The 17,320-nt window shown below is 48.3% G+C and overlaps 1 protein-coding gene across 2 annotated transcripts in view, besides 2 other annotated features; it reads left to right on the forward strand.

Moving 5' to 3' along the window:
* The window catches only part of KIF5A (kinesin family member 5A), a 36,590-nt gene that overhangs the window by 10,089 nt on the left and 9,181 nt on the right, over window positions 1-17,320 (forward strand). Inside the window, exons 2-20 of one of the 2 annotated variants that reach the window (NM_004984.4) lie at window positions 3,307-3,394; window positions 3,488-3,561; window positions 3,976-4,080; window positions 4,328-4,376; window positions 4,786-4,841; window positions 6,994-7,081; window positions 7,362-7,486; window positions 8,831-8,935; window positions 9,124-9,272; window positions 9,403-9,551; window positions 9,855-10,030; window positions 11,189-11,257; window positions 11,929-12,135; window positions 12,448-12,594; window positions 14,952-15,140; window positions 15,508-15,625; window positions 15,955-16,019; window positions 16,137-16,246; window positions 16,629-16,730. In NM_004984.4, the coding sequence (NP_004975.2) occupies window positions 3,307-3,394; window positions 3,488-3,561; window positions 3,976-4,080; window positions 4,328-4,376; window positions 4,786-4,841; window positions 6,994-7,081; window positions 7,362-7,486; window positions 8,831-8,935; window positions 9,124-9,272; window positions 9,403-9,551; window positions 9,855-10,030; window positions 11,189-11,257; window positions 11,929-12,135; window positions 12,448-12,594; window positions 14,952-15,140; window positions 15,508-15,625; window positions 15,955-16,019; window positions 16,137-16,246; window positions 16,629-16,730 (2,171 nt within the window). The remainder of the gene's footprint in view (window positions 1-3,306; window positions 3,395-3,487; window positions 3,562-3,975; window positions 4,081-4,327; window positions 4,377-4,785; window positions 4,842-6,993; window positions 7,082-7,361; window positions 7,487-8,830; window positions 8,936-9,123; window positions 9,273-9,402; window positions 9,552-9,854; window positions 10,031-11,188; window positions 11,258-11,928; window positions 12,136-12,447; window positions 12,595-14,951; window positions 15,141-15,507; window positions 15,626-15,954; window positions 16,020-16,136; window positions 16,247-16,628; window positions 16,731-17,320) is intronic. The other variant, NM_001354705.2, reaches the window with a different exon arrangement.
* Window positions 2,080-2,246: a silencer, noted in NCBI's record as "fragment chr12:57955995-57956161 (GRCh37/hg19 assembly coordinates)". NCBI's record gives its function as "represses an EF-1alpha promoter that drives an FKBP-Casp9 reporter gene in an ReSE screen in K562 erythroleukemia cells {active_cell/tissue: K562}" and the evidence as "EXISTENCE:reporter gene assay evidence [ECO:0000049][PMID:32094911]".
* Window positions 2,940-3,157: a silencer, noted in NCBI's record as "fragment chr12:57956855-57957072 (GRCh37/hg19 assembly coordinates)". NCBI's record gives its function as "represses an EF-1alpha promoter that drives an FKBP-Casp9 reporter gene in an ReSE screen in phorbol 12-myristate 13-acetate-treated (for megakaryocytic differentiation) K562 erythroleukemia cells {active_cell/tissue: K562(+PMA)}" and the evidence as "EXISTENCE:reporter gene assay evidence [ECO:0000049][PMID:32094911]".

The raw sequence follows: 17,320 nt of genomic DNA on the forward strand, positions 1-17,320 counted from the left end.
CTGCCTGCCTTGGCCTCCCAAAGTGCTGAGATTACAGGCGTGAGCCACCATGCCTAGCCAGTTATGGCATTATTTTAAATAACAGTGAGGAATAAAATATATGTATATGCTATAATTTAATTCACTCCTTAGGTTAACCAGTCTCCTAAATGTTACTCCTTTAAGTCGTCTTCAATTTCTCATTATTATAAGCAATGTGATGATAAACACCCTTGTAGCGAAATCTTGATTTCCATGATATCAATTCTTAGAAGTAGAATTTCTAGATCAATGGATATGTAAAATTTAAGGCTTTTGATTATGCATTTTTGAATTGTTATATGGATGTACTCTCCAACCAGAAAATAATGAAAGTTCTCATTTTTTTGAACCCACATCTACACTGGGTATTACAATGCAAATTTTGTTTTCCAGTTTGAGAGGTGAAAAGAAATTTTACCATTTCAGTTTCTTTTCTTGGAAAATGTTGAACATCTTCATGATTGCTGAACATTTATATTTCTTCTTCTGTTGCTTGTTTCTAGTTCTTGTTCACCTTTTTCTGTTTAGTTTTTGTCTTTTTGTTACTAATTTATGAGAGTTTTTAAGGCGGGGCATGGTGGCTCACGCTTGCAATCCTAGCACTTTGGGAGGCTGAGGTGGGTGGATTGCTTGAGCCCAGGAGTTTGAGACCAGCCCAGGCAACATGGTGAGACTCTGCCTCTACAAAAAATAAACAAAATTAGGCAGATATAGTGGTATGTGCCTGTGGTCCCAGCTACTTGGGAGGATTGCTTGGGCCTGGGAGGTTGCAGCTGCAGTGAGCTGTGATTTCGCCACTGTACTCCAGCCTACATGACAGATGAGACCCTGACTCAAGAAAAAGAAAAGAAAAGAAAATAGAGAGATTTTTTGATTATTTGTTTGTTTATTTGTTTGTTTGTTTGATACAGGGTCTCTCTCTGTCACCCAGGCTGGAGTGCAGTGGCCCGATCTTGGCTCACTGCAACCTCTGCCTTTTGAGCTCAGGTAATTCTCCCATCTCAGCCTCCTGAGTAGCTGGAATTACAGGTGTGCACCACCACACCCAGCTAATTTTTGTATTTTTTGTAGAGATGGGGTTTCACCATGTTGCCCAGTCTGGTCTTAAACTCCTGACCTCAAGTAATCTGCCTGCCTCAGCCTCCCAAAGTGCTGGGATTACATGCATGAGTCACCGTGCCCAGCCCAGCAGTTGTTTTGTAAAAGGAAATCTTAGCACTGGAATCCTGGTGCAGACTATGAACAGTATGGACATTTAAATATTTAATAGAATTGTCCTCCAGAAAGGTTCTATCAGTTGGTAATTTACAGAGAGCACTTTTCTAACTTCTTTTCCTTTGTGGATTCTGTTTCTTGGACTTCAGAGGCTTTCACCACAGAGAGACTGGATAAATATTTTAGGTAGGATTTTTTTCTATAAGCCAAATTTAATTGTTTTAATATTAAAAAACATTTATTAGTTTTCTTTTATACAAAGAAATATAAAGAAGAAAAGAATAAACGATTATTTCTTTTTTGCCATTAAAACTTTTTAAAATATAATGCTCGTACATAGTTTAAAAATGTAAACCATGCAGGATACAAAATGAAAAATAAAAGCCTTTCTCTCAGTTTCTCTCCTCAAAGTAACCACTGTTAACACTTTTGTATAATTCCTTCTAGAAAAAAAATTCTGTAGATATTCATGCAATGTTATTGCTATACCTAGAGCCACATCTCCAGCTCTAGCCAAGGTTTACAACTTTCCTTAATTAGTTAAAACATATCTCCCAAACTCTGCAAACTCTGGCGTCTGTAGATCTTGAGGTTTACATTTCGATTGGATAAAGATGGACTCTGTAGTAAAACAATTTGACAAGTCAGTCACCTATGATAGAGAACAAGCATTGTCTCATTTACTCGTCCCAGAGATTTACCTCTAATGCATCTAGCCATCAAATATATTCATTGGTTAGCTTCCTAAGTTGTAAGTATTTTGTGTCTTTATCATTCTTATCAGCACATGTGATTTACAACATATTCCTGAATTAAACAAGGATTTGTAAGTCTGAATGATTTGCTTCACAGTTCTTTTTTTTTGAGACGAAGTCTTGCTCTTGTCCCCCAGGCTGGAGTGCAGTGGCGCAATCTTGGCTCACTGCAACCTCCGCCTCCTGGGTTCAAGCGATTCTCCTGCCTCAGCCTCCGGCGTAGCTGGGATTACAGGTGCCTGCCACCACGCCCAGCTAATTTTTGTATTTTTAGTAGAGATGGGGTTTCAGCATGTTGGCCAGGCTGGTCTCGAACTCCTCACCTCAGGTGATCTGCCTGCCTTGGCCTCCCAAAGTGCTGGGATTACAGGCTTGAGCCACCGTGCCCGACCCACAGTTCTTCTTTAATTAAAGCTTGTTCTGTTCTTAAAGGGAGACCCACATATCTGATTTCATATATTCCTTTCACAAAGAGAGAGAGCTTGTGTTAATGTTTCCACAGAGGCTCTCAGTGTAGACTGAATTTCATTTACATGGTAGGGAACATGCTATAAATATATGTCACTAACTTTGCATCTTTCACTTAGTACATCTAAAGATCTTTCCATATCAGGGTACGTGGATCTGTTGAGGAAGATATTTCTAGCTTGAGATACTTTTTAGTGTTAATGAATTGTTCTTCAATTTTCATCACCTGTGGCCCTATTGTCTTTTTTCATCTGGTTTCCCAGGGAGGAGTTTGGGGTAGTGGAGTGCTCAATCATCACACCACGACTAAGATCCCCTAACACAATCTCACTGTGCGACACTCCTCTACCCCACAGACACAACTCCTGGCATCAGTACCTTTAGTTTCTCTTATTCTCCCACATTTCTTTTCTTTTCTTCTTCTTTTTTTTTTTGAGATGGAGTCTCGCTCTATCGCCAGGCTGGAGTGCAGTGGCGCAATCTCGGCTCACTGCAACCTCTGCCTCTCGGGTTCAAGCGATTCTCCTGTCTCTGCCTCCCGAGTAGCTGGGACTACAGGCACGTGCCACCACACCAGGCTAATTTTTGTATTTTTAGTAGAGACGGGGTTTCACCATATTGGTCAGGCTGGTCTTGAACTCCTGACCTCGTGATCCGCCTGCCTCAGCCTCTTAAAATGATGGGATTACAGGTGTGAGCCACCACGCCCGGCCATTCTCCCACATTTCTGTTCATTAAGGGCATTGAAGAAAAGGGTGCCTTTCTCAGCTGCTGGAAGGAGGTTGTGGTATTTCTTTTCCCTCACATCCTGCCTGTTGACGTCTGATATCTTTTATTTTCATTCCAGGGGAAGCCATATGTTTTTGACCGTGTATTCCCCCCAAACACGACTCAAGAGCAAGTTTATCATGCATGTGCCATGCAGATTGTCAAAGGTAATAGATTTCTTTTTAGAATGTCTCTTCTCAGCACCCCATTTCCTACCCGACCTATCTCCACCAGTACTCTTTCTCTACTGTCTCTTCCAGATGTCCTTGCTGGCTACAATGGCACCATTTTTGCTTATGGACAGACATCCTCAGGGAAAACACATACCATGGAGGTGAGGGTTCTGGCTTTGGTGGTTGAGGGGCTAGGAGTGTTAATGGAAGATCAGGGAATCTCAGTGGGGGAAGGTCTAGGAATCAAGGATTGCCTGGTCCAGAGGCAGATAGATGAGTACAGAGGATGAACTGAAGGGCAATATTAGGGGAAGTTTAATGGAATCCCTCCAACCCACTGCAGTGGATCATCCTTTCCACTACTCCAGTCTTCTTTTGATCGGGAAAAGCAATGGAAGTCCAAAGGGCTACTCAATTATCTCCTTGCTCCTCTAAAAGGCAGACATGGTGGTGACCATCTCCTAACTTAGGATGTTCTTCTTATTGACTCTTGCCTTGGTGTTCACCTGCATACATCTGAGTTGTCTCATTCTCCCTGAGCCCCAGCTTCACTCTCAAATACCTTCACTCGCCAGGGAAAGCTGCACGACCCTCAGCTGATGGGAATCATTCCTCGAATTGCCCGAGACATCTTCAACCACATCTACTCCATGGATGAGAACCTTGAGTTCCACATCAAGGTGACCAGGGCACGACAGCTGGGCATTCAGATGGGGACTGGGAGGGGAAGATCTAAAATCTTCCCACTGAAGAGCCTGGGCTCCCCAACTTGACTCCCTTTCCGGTTACCAGAGTTCTTTGTCAAGATGTTCTCTTCTGTTCTTTTCCTCCCACCACCGTTTGAGCAGGTCACATTAGTATGGGATTCCTGAACTAGATTTAAGATAGGCCCTCTTTACTTCACACTCCTTCTTTCTTCTTAACCAGGTTTCTTACTTTGAAATTTACCTGGACAAAATTCGTGACCTTCTGGATGGTGAGTGTTTTGTCCCAGTGGATGAGGGTGTGTGAGGAGGGTGGAGAAAAGAAAGCTCACATTGCATTTGGAATTAGGTACCAATTGACAAGAGATGCAGAGGGCACACAGCACCCAAGTCTTTTGGCCCCGTTTACCAGAATTTCCAAAAACTGAGAAGGTCAGGAGATGAGCTTAGCAGCCAAGGACTACATATAAACAGTTCGAGAGGATCTGGGGCCGAGGAGCAGGAGCCCTGAGGAGGAGAAGGAGGAGGAACTGAGCCTTCAGCTCGTGCAGGGAGTTTAGGCTTCACAGGGAGAGTCTTCCTTTAGCACAGAGAAGAAAACCACCATCTGAGCTGACTGCAAGGTGCAGATGGGGGCGGTGGAAGTACTAGTCTTGCTTACCCTGCATTCTTTTGATTCAGTGACCAAGACAAATCTGTCCGTGCACGAGGACAAGAACCGGGTGCCATTTGTCAAGGTGAGAGTGGGTGTGGGGCACCTATGTGGGGCCAGTGTATTGAGAATGTTGGTGGGGGAGGAGCATAGGTCAGTGACCCTGAAGTTGGAGGGTGGATATCCTGGAGGAATGAGATGTGCCTAGGGGCCAGGGAGAGTCTAGGGGATCAGAAAAGATACTGTCTTGGCTGGGCATGGTGGCTCATACCTGTAATCCCAGCACTTTGGGAGGCTGAGGTGGGTGGATCACTTGAGGCCGGGAGTTCAAGACCAGCCTGGCCAATATAGTGAAACCCCGTTTCTACTAAAAATACAAAAAATTAACTGGGCGTGGTGGCACATGCTTGTAATCCCAGCTATTTGGGACACTGAAGCAGGAGAATCTCTTGAACCTGGGAGGCAGAGGTTGCGGTGAGCCGAGATTGCGCCACTGCACTCCAGCCTGGGCGACAGAGTGAGAACCTGTCTTTAAAAAAAAAGAAGAAAAGAAAAGATACTGTCTTGAAAGGTCATTGGTCAGTGTGCATGCAATTTAATTTGCAAATCAAAGTTTACTGGAAGAAATGCCTGTAATCCCAACACTTTAGAAGGCTGAGGTGGGAGGATCACTTGAGGAGTTCAAGATCAGCCTGGCCAACATAGCAAGACCCGTCTCTCTTATTTAATCTAATTTTTTTTTTTTTTTTTTTTGGAGACAGAGTCTCACTCTGTTGCCCAGGCTGGAGTGCAGTGGCTCGACCTAGGGTCACTGCAACCTCCCTGTCCTGGGTTCAAACGATTCTCCTGCGTCAGGCTCCCGAGTAGCTGGGACTACAGGCATGTGCCACCACGCCTGGCTGATTTTAGTATTTTTAGTAGAGACGGGGTTTCACCATGTTGGCCAGGCTGGTCTCTAATTCCTGACCTCAGGTGATCCACCTGCCTCAGCCTCCCAAAGTGCTGGAATTACAGGCATGAGCCACTATGCTGAGTCTCTTGTTTAAAAAAAAAAAAAAATTTTTGTCAGGCATGGTGGCACACACCTGTAGTCCCAGCTACTCAGGAGGCTGAGGCGGGAGAATTGCTTGAGCTCAAGAGTTTGAGGTTGCAGTGAGCCATGATAGTGCCACTGCACTCCAGCCTGTGTAGTAGAGAGACAGTGGTTTTTTTTGTTTGTTTGTTTTTGTTTTTGGAGACAGATTCTCACTCTGTCACCCAGGCTGTAGTGCAATGGCATGATCTTGGCTCACTGCAACCTCTGCCTCCTGGGTTCAAGTGATTCTCCTGCCTCAGCCTCCCAAGCATATGGGATTATAGGTGCCTGCCACCAGGCCCACTTATTTTTGTATTTTTAGTAGAGATGGGGTTTCACCATGTTAGCCAGGCTAGTCTCGAACTCCTGACCTCAGGTGATCCGCCCACCTCAGCCTCCCAGTGTGCTGGCATTACAGGCATAAGCCACTGCACCTGGCTGCGACAGTGTTTTTTTTTTTTTGAGACAGAGTTTCTCTCTTGTTGCCCAGGCTGGGGTACAGTGGCGCCCGATCTTGGCTTACTGCAACCTCAGCCTCCCGAGTTCAAGTGATTCTCCTGCCTCAGCCTCCTGAGTAGCTGGAATTACAGGCATGTGCCACCACGTCTGGCTAATTTTGTATTTTTAGTGGAGATGGGATTTTGCCATGTTGGCCAGGCTGGTCACGAACTCCTGACCTCAGGTGATCCACCCACATTGGCCTCCCAAACCAAAGTGCTGGGATTACAGGCGTGAGCCACCATGCCCGCCACTGTTTCAAAAAAGTAGTAAATACGTAAGATAAAAATAAATACAAAGCAGGGCATGGTGGCTCAAGCCTGTAATCCCAGCACTTTGGGAGGCCAAGGCAGGCGGATCACGAGGTCAGGACTTTGAGACCAGCCTGACCAACATGGTGAAACCCCGTCTCTACTAAAAATACAAAAATTAGCCGGGCGTGTTGGCTCATGCCTGTAATCCCAGCTACTCTGGAGGCTGAGGCAAGAGAATCGCTTGAACCTGGGAGGTGGAGGTTGCAGTGAGCTGAGATTCTTGACACTGCACTCCAGCCTGGGCAGAGCGAGACTCCATCTCAAAAGAAAATAATAATAATAAAAATAAATAAATAAATACAAACTTAAAAAACAAAGCTTATGGGTCACTGTCCATTTGTCCCCCACAGGGTTGTACTGAACGCTTTGTGTCCAGCCCGGAGGAGATTCTGGATGTGATTGATGAAGGGAAATCAAATCGTCATGTGGCTGTCACCAGTGAGTGAGGATACAAGGGGATCTCTCGAGTCTGAGGATCCACTTGTGTTCTGTGTCCTCTGGGGTGGAGGGACTCAAAAGTGAGCAAGGAAACTGTACCCCCCAGAGGAGGAGGACCCCTTGTCTGTGGGACCCTGCTGCCTGGGAGATGTGGCAGCAGGGCTAGTCCTGGTGGGCACCTTCTCTCTGGGTGGGCGGGGCTGGGGTCAGTGGAAGCCGGGGGCTGAGGACCTCAGTTCTGCAGGGTGGTGCAGGTCCTGTTTCTCCCTTGCTCCTGCAGACATGAATGAACACAGCTCTCGGAGCCACAGCATCTTCCTCATCAACATCAAGCAGGAGAACATGGAAACGGAGCAGAAGCTCAGTGGGAAGCTGTATCTGGTGGACCTGGCAGGGAGTGAGAAGGTAGGGGGTCCTGTGGATATGGGGTGGGTGGAAGCCTTGGCTCTTTTTTTTTTTTTTTTTGAGACAGAGTCTCACTCTGTCGCCCGGGCTGGTTTGCAGTGGCACGATCTCTGTTCACTGCAACCTCCGCCTCCTGGGTTTAAGTGATTCTCCTGCCTAAACCTTCCAAGTAGCTGGGATTACAGGTGCCCACCACCACGCCTGGCTAATTTTTTGTATTTTTAGTAGAGAGGGGATTTCACTGTGTTGGCCAGGCTGGTCCTTGGCTCTTTTTTTTTTTTTGAGACGGATTCTTGCTCTGTCACCCAGGTTGGAGTGCAGTGGCACGCTCTCAGCTCACTGCAACCCCTGCCTCCCAGGTTCAAGTGATTTTCCTGCCTCAGCCTCCCTAGTAGCTGGGATTACAGGCTCCCGCCACCAAGCCCAGCTAATTTTTGTATTTTTAGTAGAGACGGGGTTTCACCATGTTGGCCAGGCTGGTCTCGAACTCCTGACCTCGGGATCCACCTGCCTCGGCCTCCCAAAGTGCTGGGACTACAGGCATGAGCCACTGTGCCCGGCCGACTCTTTTTTAACTAAAAAATGATTTGCATTGGGATATAATTCACATACCATAAAGTTCACCATTTTAAAGTGCAATTCAGTTGTTTGTAGTATGTTCCCAAGGTTGTGCAACCATTACGCTATCCAATTCTAGAGCACTGTCATCTTCTATTCACAGTCACTCTCCATTGTCCCCTAACCCCATCCCCTGTCAACTTCTAATCTACTTTCTGTCTCTATGGATTTGCCTATCCTGAACATTTCATATAAATGGAATCATATGGCTGGGCACGGTGGCTCACACCTGTAATCCCAGCACTTTGCGAGGCCGAGGTGGGTGGATCACCTGAGGTCGGGAGTTCGAGACCAGCCTGGCCAACATAGAGAAACCCCATCTCTACAAAAAATGCAAAATTAGCTGGGCGTGGTGGCACATGCCTGTAATCCCAGCTGCTCAGGAGGCTGAGGCAGGATAACCGCTTGAACCTGGGAGGCGGAGGTTGTGGTGAGCTGAGATCGCACCATTGCACTCCAGCCTGCGCAACAAGAGTGAAACTCCATCTCAAAAAAAAAAAAAGGAATCATGTAATATGTGGCAGGGGTTAGGGGCAATGTGGTGTTTGACAAGACAGTTTAGGGGAACAGAGGAAGGGCCTTCCCCAATCCCAGCCAAGCATCTCTGTTACTCCATCTTCTTCCCTGTTCCTTCCTTCCTCCGTGGACTGAGCCCTGGAACGAGGTGGTGACAGCCCTCTCCATGTGCAGCTGCTCATACACACTCATCTCTTACTGCCCTGGTAGGTCAGCAAGACTGGAGCAGAGGGAGCCGTGCTGGACGAGGCAAAGAATATCAACAAGTCACTGTCAGCTCTGGGCAATGTGATCTCCGCACTGGCTGAGGGCACTGTGAGTGATCCTTAGGTCCCCTCACCCCTCAAGCCACACCCCATCTCCTCCCCCACCTGCTAATGCCACCATATGATCATGCCCCAATTCATGGGTTGTCTGATCCCGGGGTGGCACCACTATCCTTTCTGATTCCCTGTTGAATTTTATTTGTTTATTTCTGATTCCTGGTCTCCTTCCTCCCCCAGAAAAGCTATGTTCCATATCGTGACAGCAAAATGACAAGGATTCTCCAGGACTCTCTCGGGGGAAACTGCCGGACGACTATGTTCATCTGTTGCTCACCATCCAGTTATAATGATGCAGAGACCAAGTCCACCCTGATGTTTGGGCAGCGGTCAGTGGCAGGGTCCCCAGAGGGATCCCTGGTACCCAGCTTCCCATCCCAGCCTCTGCGGCTCTCTCTCCTCAGGGTCACCCAAGTCTCATGTTGCTCTCATTTCTTTGTTCCTCTTCTCCTCACCCAGGGCAAAGACCATTAAGAACACTGCCTCAGTAAATTTGGAGTTGACTGCTGAGCAGTGGAAGAAGAAATATGAGAAGGAGAAGGAGAAGACAAAGGCCCAGAAGGAGACGATTGCGAAGCTGGAGGCTGAGCTGAGCCGGTGGCGCAATGGTTAGAGAGGGATAGGTGGGAGTGAGGGGCAGTGGGAAGAGGAGGAGGATGTTTGGGAGCCAACTCTGTTTGGGTGGTGTTTCTGGCCAGGCCAATCTCCTAGAAGAGGGGCTGTGTTTCTGGACAGGTGCAGTAGAGCAGTCATGGGGGAAGGGAGGGGCCTGACTACCTACCTCCCATACTCCCAAAAGGTAGAGGGTCCACCTGGCAAGAGAGTTCAAGGGGCATGGTGAGTGAGAAGGAAGAACTCGTGGATGCAGCTTCTTCTTCTTCCATCTCTCACCTCGTCTTGCCCCTTTGCAGGAGAGAATGTGCCTGAGACAGAGCGCCTGGCTGGGGAGGAGGCAGCCCTGGGAGCCGAGCTCTGTGAGGAGACCCCTGTGAATGACAACTCATCCATCGTGGTGCGCATCGCGCCCGAGGAGCGGCAGAAATACGAGGAGGAGATCCGCCGTCTCTATAAGCAGCTTGACGACAAGGTGAGGGCGGCCAGGCAGGGCACTGAGGCACGCCAGGTGGGATGAGAGGTAGACGATCAAAGAAAATCGCTTATATTGCCTCTTTCTGGTTTTAAAAGGGATAAATGCTTATGCTTGAAATGTGGAAACATCAATATAAATGTATGTAAGAAAATTAAAATCATCCACTATTCAGAGATAACACTCAACATTTTGCTTTTCTCTGTGCATATACCATGCAATTGAGTTATACTGTATAAGTAATTTTTTTTTTTGAGACAGGGTCTTGCTGTGTCGCCCAGGCTAGAGTGCAGAGGCACGATTGTGGTTCACTGCAACCTCTGCCTCTCGGGTTCAAGTGATTCTCCTGCCTCAGCCTCCAGAGTAGCTGGGATTACAGGCGCATGCCACCACGCCTGGCTAATTTTTGTATTTTTGGTAGAAACGGGGTTTCACCATGTTGGCTAGGCTGACCTCTGGCGATCCGCCCGCCTCGGCCCCCTGAAGTGCTTGGATTACAGGCGTGAGCCACCGTGCCCGGCCTGTATATGTAATTATACATCTGATTTTTTTCATTCAGCATTATATTATGCACAATTTCCTACTTCATTAATAATTCTTCATAAAAGTATTTTTATTTTCATTTATTATTATTATTTTGCTTTGAGAGAAAGAGTCTTGCTTTGTTACTCGGGCTGAAGTGCAGTGGTGCAGTAATAGCTCACTGCAACCTCAAACTCCTGGGCTCGAGGGATCCCCCCCAACCTCAGCCTCTGAAAGAGCTGGGACTACAGGTGCACACCACCACGCCCAGCTAATTTTTTTTTTTTTTTTTTTTTGGTAGAGTTGGAGTCTCACTTTGTTGCCCAGGCTGGTCTCAAACTCCTGGCCTCAAGCGATCCTCCCGCCTTGGCCTTTCAATGCGCTGGGATTAAAGGCATGCACCACCAGGCTAGCTAATATTTTAAATTTTTTGTAGAGACAGGGTCTCACTATGTTGCCCAGGTTGGCCTTGAACTCCTGGCTTCAACCGATCTTCCTGTAGGATATGGGGTTTCTAACTCAAAGCTTATACTATCTGGATTTTTATCAGGATCCTGCCTCTACCCCCAAACTTCTTACGTCTAAACTGGAAGGAGTAGCTTCCCTTCACCTGTCTTTCCCTGTTGCCTCCAACAGGATGATGAAATCAACCAACAAAGCCAACTCATAGAGAAGCTCAAGCAGCAAATGCTGGACCAGGAAGAGGTAATAGGAGGGAGGGCAGGACATGAGAGGAAAGGGGTTCTGTTCATCACTGGAAGGCATGGAATAGACCTTTTTAAAATCAGATGGAAGAAGGCGCTTTCTGCTTGGGGATTAATCACTCCCCTAAACAGCAGAAGTCTGGGAACCTCACTGGGGCTTTTCTTTTCTTTTCCTTTTTTCTTTTCTTTTTTTTTTTTAGAGATGGAGTCTCAATTTGTTACCTAGGCTGGAATGCAGTGGGGCAATCTCAGCTCACTGCAGCCTCGATCTTCCAGGGTCAAGCAGTCCTCCTGCCTCAGCCCCCTAAGTAGCTGGGACTACAAGTGCACCACCACACATGGCTAATTTTTGTAGAGATGGAGTTTTGCCATGTTACCCAGGCTGGTCTCGAACTCCTGAGCTCAGGCAATGTGCCCACCTAGGCCTCCCAAAGTGCTGGGATTACAGGCGTGAGCCACTGCGCCCGGCTGGGGCTTTTCTTAAAGCACAAATTTTAAAGTCTGGGGGCTTCTTCATTCTTCATTCTGTTGCCCTATTTCTATGAAACCTAAAGCCCACTTCCTCTTAACTCTTTATTTTGGGTAGGGTGGGGGCTCAGCTTCCCAGACCCAAGGCCATAGAAATGGTCACTGGCAGTGATCTTTCCCACATGCCACTCCTCTCCCTTGAAGCTGCTGGTGTCCACCCGAGGAGACAACGAGAAGGTCCAGCGGGAGCTGAGCCACCTGCAATCAGAGAACGATGCCGCTAAGGATGAGGTGAAGGAAGTGCTGCAGGCCCTGGAGGAGCTGGCTGTGAACTATGACCAGAAGTCCCAGGAGGTGGAGGAGAAGAGCCAGCAGAACCAGCTTCTGGTGGATGAGCTGTCTCAGAAGGTGGTAAGTGGTGTGCCAATGGTCCAACAGCTCCCTGACCACAGAACATCTCCCATGTCGAGGGGACCTCTGCATCCTTCCAGGGCTGTATGGTGGCTGCACCTCTGCACTGCTGTTCAGTGCATTGTGAGTCCCTCCCCAACCCTGTCACTGCACTTTCCCCTCACAGTCCCTCTGTCTTTCAGACTCTTCTGCAGGGCCTGTGTTCTCTTCATAGCAGCCCTCAGGGTCTTGCATGAAGGGAGAGGCCTCTGCCTGGGCTGGGCAAGGGAGCAGGAGGATGGCAACAGGAATGACCTGAGGGGCTGTCCCCAGGCCACCATGCTGTCCCTGGAGTCTGAGTTGCAGCGGCTACAGGAGGTCAGTGGACACCAGCGAAAACGAATTGCTGAGGTGCTGAACGGGCTGATGAAGGATCTGAGCGAGTTCAGTGTCATTGTGGGCAACGGGGAGATTAAGCTGGTGAGTGGTGAGAGACAGCAGCCTTGTTCAGGCTGGGCACTAGTGGAAGACGCAAGATGAGCCATCCAGGCCTTCACAGATACTGAGAAAGGCAGCCAGAGAGCCAGGAAACATGCCTTTGAACTAGACCCAGGAAGACAGGTAGAGGCTTGTATAGACCCAATTGAAAAGATACATTCTAGGTTGGGCGCAGTGGCTCACCGCTGTAATCCCAGCACTTTGGGAGGCCGAGGCAGGCGGATCACTTGAGGTCAGGAGTTCGAGACCTGACCTCGCCAACATGGCGAAACCCTGTCTCTACTAAAAATACAAAAATTAGCCAGGCGTGGTGATGTGCACCTGTAATTCCAGCTACTCAGGAGACTGAGGCAGGAGAATCGCTTCAACCTGGGAGGTAGAGGTTGCAGTGAACTGAGATCACACCACTGCACTCTAGCCTGGGTTATAGAGTGAGACTCTGCCTTAAAAACAAAACAAAACAAAACTAAATTCTAACGGGTGCTGAATAAAGAAGCAATGGAGGCCAGGCATGGTGGTTCATGCCTGTAATCCCAACATTTTGGGAGGCTGAGACAGGCGGATCGCTTGAGCCCAGGAGTTCACGACCAGCCTGGGTGACATAGTGAAACCCTATCTCTACAAAAAATACAAACGATTAGCTGGGGGTGGTGGCACACACCTATAGTACCAGCTACTTGACAGGCTGAGGTGGGAGAATCACCTGAGTATGGGAGGTTGAGGCTGCAGTGAGACATGATTGAGCTACTGCAATCCAGCCTGGGTGACAGAGCCAGACCTTGTCTTAAAAAAAAAAAAAAAGAGGCTGTACATGGTGGCTCACGCCTGTAATCCCAGCACTTTGGGAGGACGAGGCGGGTGGATCACCTGAGGTCAGGAGTTCGAGACCAGCCTGTTCAACATGGAGAAACTCCGTGTCTACTAAAAATATAAAATTAGCCGGGTGTGGTGGCTCATGCCTGTAATCCCAGCTACTCACGTGGCTGAGGCAGGGGAATCGCTTGAACCTGGAGGCGGAGGTTGCAGTGAGCCGAGATTGCACCATTGCACTCCAGCCTGGGCAACAAGAGTGAAACTCCGTCTCAAAAAAAAAAAAAAAAAAATTTGGGAGGCCGAGGCGAGGTCAGGAGATTGAGACCATCCTGGCTAACACAGTGAAACCCTGTCTCTACTAAAAAAATACAAAAAATTAGCCAGGCATGGTGGCGGGCGCCTGTAGTCCCAGCTACTCAGGAGGCTGAGGCAGGAGAATGGCGTGAACCTGGGAGGCGGAGCTTGCAGTGAGCAGAGATGCGGCACTGCACTCCAGCCTGGGTGACAGAGGGAGACTCTGTCTCAAAAAAAAAAAAAAAAAGCAGCAGCAACAGAGCAGTGCTTGCAGTAGGAGTTAGAGGTGGGGCATAGGCACAGAGTTCAGAATGAAATATGCAAATCTGTGGATGTGAGAATAATCTGGGTGATCAAGGAGATCAAAAGAAAATCATGTTGCTTTATAAGATTTATTTGTAAGTGGGGGACTGTCAGAATTGGATTTTTTTTTTTTTTTGAGATGGAGTCTTGCTCTGTTGCCCAGGCTGGAGTGCAGTGGTGTGATCTCAGCTCACTGCAACCTCCGCCTCCCAGGTTCAAGCAATTCTTCTGCTTCAGCCTCCCGAGTAGCTGGGACTACAGGCACACACCACCTCTCCTGGCTAATTTTTTATGTTTTTAGTAGAGAGAGGGTTTCACCATATTGGCCAGGCTGGTCTCGAACTCCTGACCTCGTAGTCCACCCACCTCGGCCTCCCAAAGTGTTGGGATTACAGGCGTGAGCCACCGAGCCCGGCCCAGAATTGGATTTTTTTTTTTTTTTTTTGAGATGGAGTCTCACTCTGTCGCCCAGGCTGGAGTCCAGTGGTGTGATCTCGGTTCACTGCAACCTCCGCCTCCTGGGTTCAAGCAATTTCCTGCCTCAGCCTCTTGAGTAGCTGGGATTACAGGCATGTGCCATGATGCTTGGCTAATTTTGTATTTTTAGTAGAGACAGGGTTTCACCACCATGTTGGTCAGGCTGGTCTCGAACTCCTGACCTCAGGTGATCCACCCACCTTGACCTCCCAAAGTGCTGAGATTACAAGGCATGAGCTACTGCGCCCAGCCAGAATTGGATTTTTAAATGCAGGCGGAGGAATTTAATGTGAAATGCCGCTGATAGAGAGCTGCTAAAGGTCGTTTGGAAAATACCCATCCCATTTGAGTCCCTGCGTATGTGGGTGTGTATGGGTAGGTAGAAGGTGGGAGGGAACAGATAAAGCTTCCCAGCAGCCAAGAAGCATCTCTTCCTCCTTTAATCACCTTAGCCAGTGGAGATCAGTGGGGCCATCGAGGAGGAGTTCACTGTGGCCCGACTCTACATCAGCAAAATCAAATCAGAAGTCAAGTCTGTGGTCAAGCGGTGCCGGCAGCTGGAGAACCTCCAGGTGGAGTGTCACCGCAAGATGGAAGTGACCGGGCGGGAGCTCTCATCCTGCCAGCTCCTCATCTCTCAGGTGAGTGCCTAAGTTTGAGAACCTTCAGATGCCATGGGAGAAAGAAGGCTACTCTGGGGTTATGGCTAAAACTCCTAACACCCACCTTTATGTCAAAGTTCTGGGGTCAAGTGAAATCAAGGACAGAAAAGCTGGGGTGGCAGGGGTGCAGATCAGGGCCAAAAAAGTAAAGGCTCAGGGCGGGTACTGCCCCCTGAGCCATGGGAGCTAAAGGAAGAGCCCCATAGGAATGGCCCCCAACCCTGCACCCTCATGGGAAGTGTAGCAGGAGGGAGGGCTGGGAGGAGAGCTGGAGTTGGAGATCTGTGTGGCCTGGGTTTGTGTCCTTTGCTCCATCTTCTTCCTCTCACCAACTTTCTCCCACCAGCATGAGGCCAAGATCCGCTCGCTTACGGAATACATGCAGAGCGTGGAGCTAAAGAAGCGGCACCTGGAAGAGTCCTATGACTCCTTGAGCGATGAGCTGGCCAAGCTCCAGGCCCAGGGTGAGGCCTTCTTATACCTCCATCCCACTGTCCAGGGCAGAAAAGTCAGAAACATCAAAATAAATCACCCCAATAATCACTCACTCAAAGCATTAGCTTGAAATCATGGATGCCAACTCATATGTTAGCCAAGGTTTTGCATGTAGCTCATTTTACATTAACCATACACCCTTGTTCTCTGTTCCTGCTATATCAAATTGGACAGTCCTAACACAGAAGAACATCCCTGTGGGTCCATTCCCAGCCCTGCCTGGAGTTCTGGTCACAACGTGAAGTTCTTTCCGAAAGAGGTAGGTTTGATGTCAGCTGTCTTCCCCTCTTTCCCTTAGAAACTGTGCATGAAGTGGCCCTGAAGGACAAGGAGCCTGACACTCAGGATGCAGATGAAGTGAAGGTGAGTAAGGAAGGTGTCAGGGACAATTGGGGCCTGGTGTGGTGAAAGCTGTGCTGGCCCTCACAGAGCTTGTTGCTGGGAGTCTGGCCTTTGAGCTTGGGGTGGGGTTGTTTGCAGAAGGCTCTGGAGCTGCAGATGGAGAGTCACCGGGAGGCCCATCACCGGCAGCTGGCCCGGCTCCGGGACGAGATCAACGAGAAGCAGAAGACCATTGATGAGCTCAAAGAGTAAGGGTTCCCAAGGGCGACTCCAGCCCCTCCCGGGTCCTGTCACCTTGCTGTATTGACTCACATGTCCCCTCTGGGTCTGATTCTTTAACATCCATGTGTCATTCCCTCAACAATGCCACAACTTCGTAGCCCCACCTCAGGAGACACATGGAATAACGACTAGTCCCTATCCTTGAGGGTCCCAGGATTAGAGAGGTCAGGGTTCCTGGCTCTGTCATGGAAACAGTGGCCTGAGTCTGCCTCTGGTATCTGAAGGTGGACACATCAATTCTAACTGGACTCACTCGTTCAAAAAGGAAGAAGTTTGAAGAGCTGGCCTTCCCTTCCCCCTCATTAACATCTTTCTCCCCCATCTCCATTACCTTCTGATGCTCTGTAGCCTAAATCAGAAGCTCCAGTTAGAGCTAGAGAAGCTTCAGGCTGACTACGAGAAGCTGAAGAGCGAAGAACACGAGAAGAGCACCAAGCTGCAGGAGCTGACGTGAGTGGCATGGATTTACCTGTAAAACTACAGCCTTGTAGGCTCAGAACTGTGAACTCAGACACGCTTGCAGAGGCAGGACACACATGCAGACATGATAGGGTGACTCATGGGAAAAATATGATGGGGTAGGGACGGGACCAAAAGGACACTCTCAGCAAAGACTGCCGTTGAGTATTCACCAGTATGGAAGGAGGTTTACGTGTTCTATTCAGTGTAAAAACAGGTTACAAAACCATATGCATGGTATGATCCCATAAAAATGTATACATGGATATGTAGGCATAGAAAAAAGTCTAGAAAGGTGGACACCAGAAGGTTAATGTTGGTTTGATCTGTAAATAGTAGAATCATAGGCTTTTTATAAAAACTCACCTTATGTCTCTCTTTAAAATTCTTTTCTAATTTTTGCACAGTAAACATGAGTAACTTGTGTAATAAATAATAATAGGCTGGGTGCGATGGCTTACACCTATAATCTCAGCACTTTGGGAGGCCAAAGCAGGTGGACTGCTTGAGCTCAGTAGTTCGAGACCAGCCTGGGCAACATGGCAAAACCCTGTCTCTACTAAAAATACAAAAATTAGCTG

The sequence above is a fragment of the Homo sapiens genome, chromosome 12, assembly GCF_000001405.40.
Source record: "Homo sapiens chromosome 12, GRCh38.p14 Primary Assembly".
In the NCBI taxonomy this organism is placed as follows: Eukaryota; Metazoa; Chordata; class Mammalia; order Primates; family Hominidae; genus Homo; species Homo sapiens.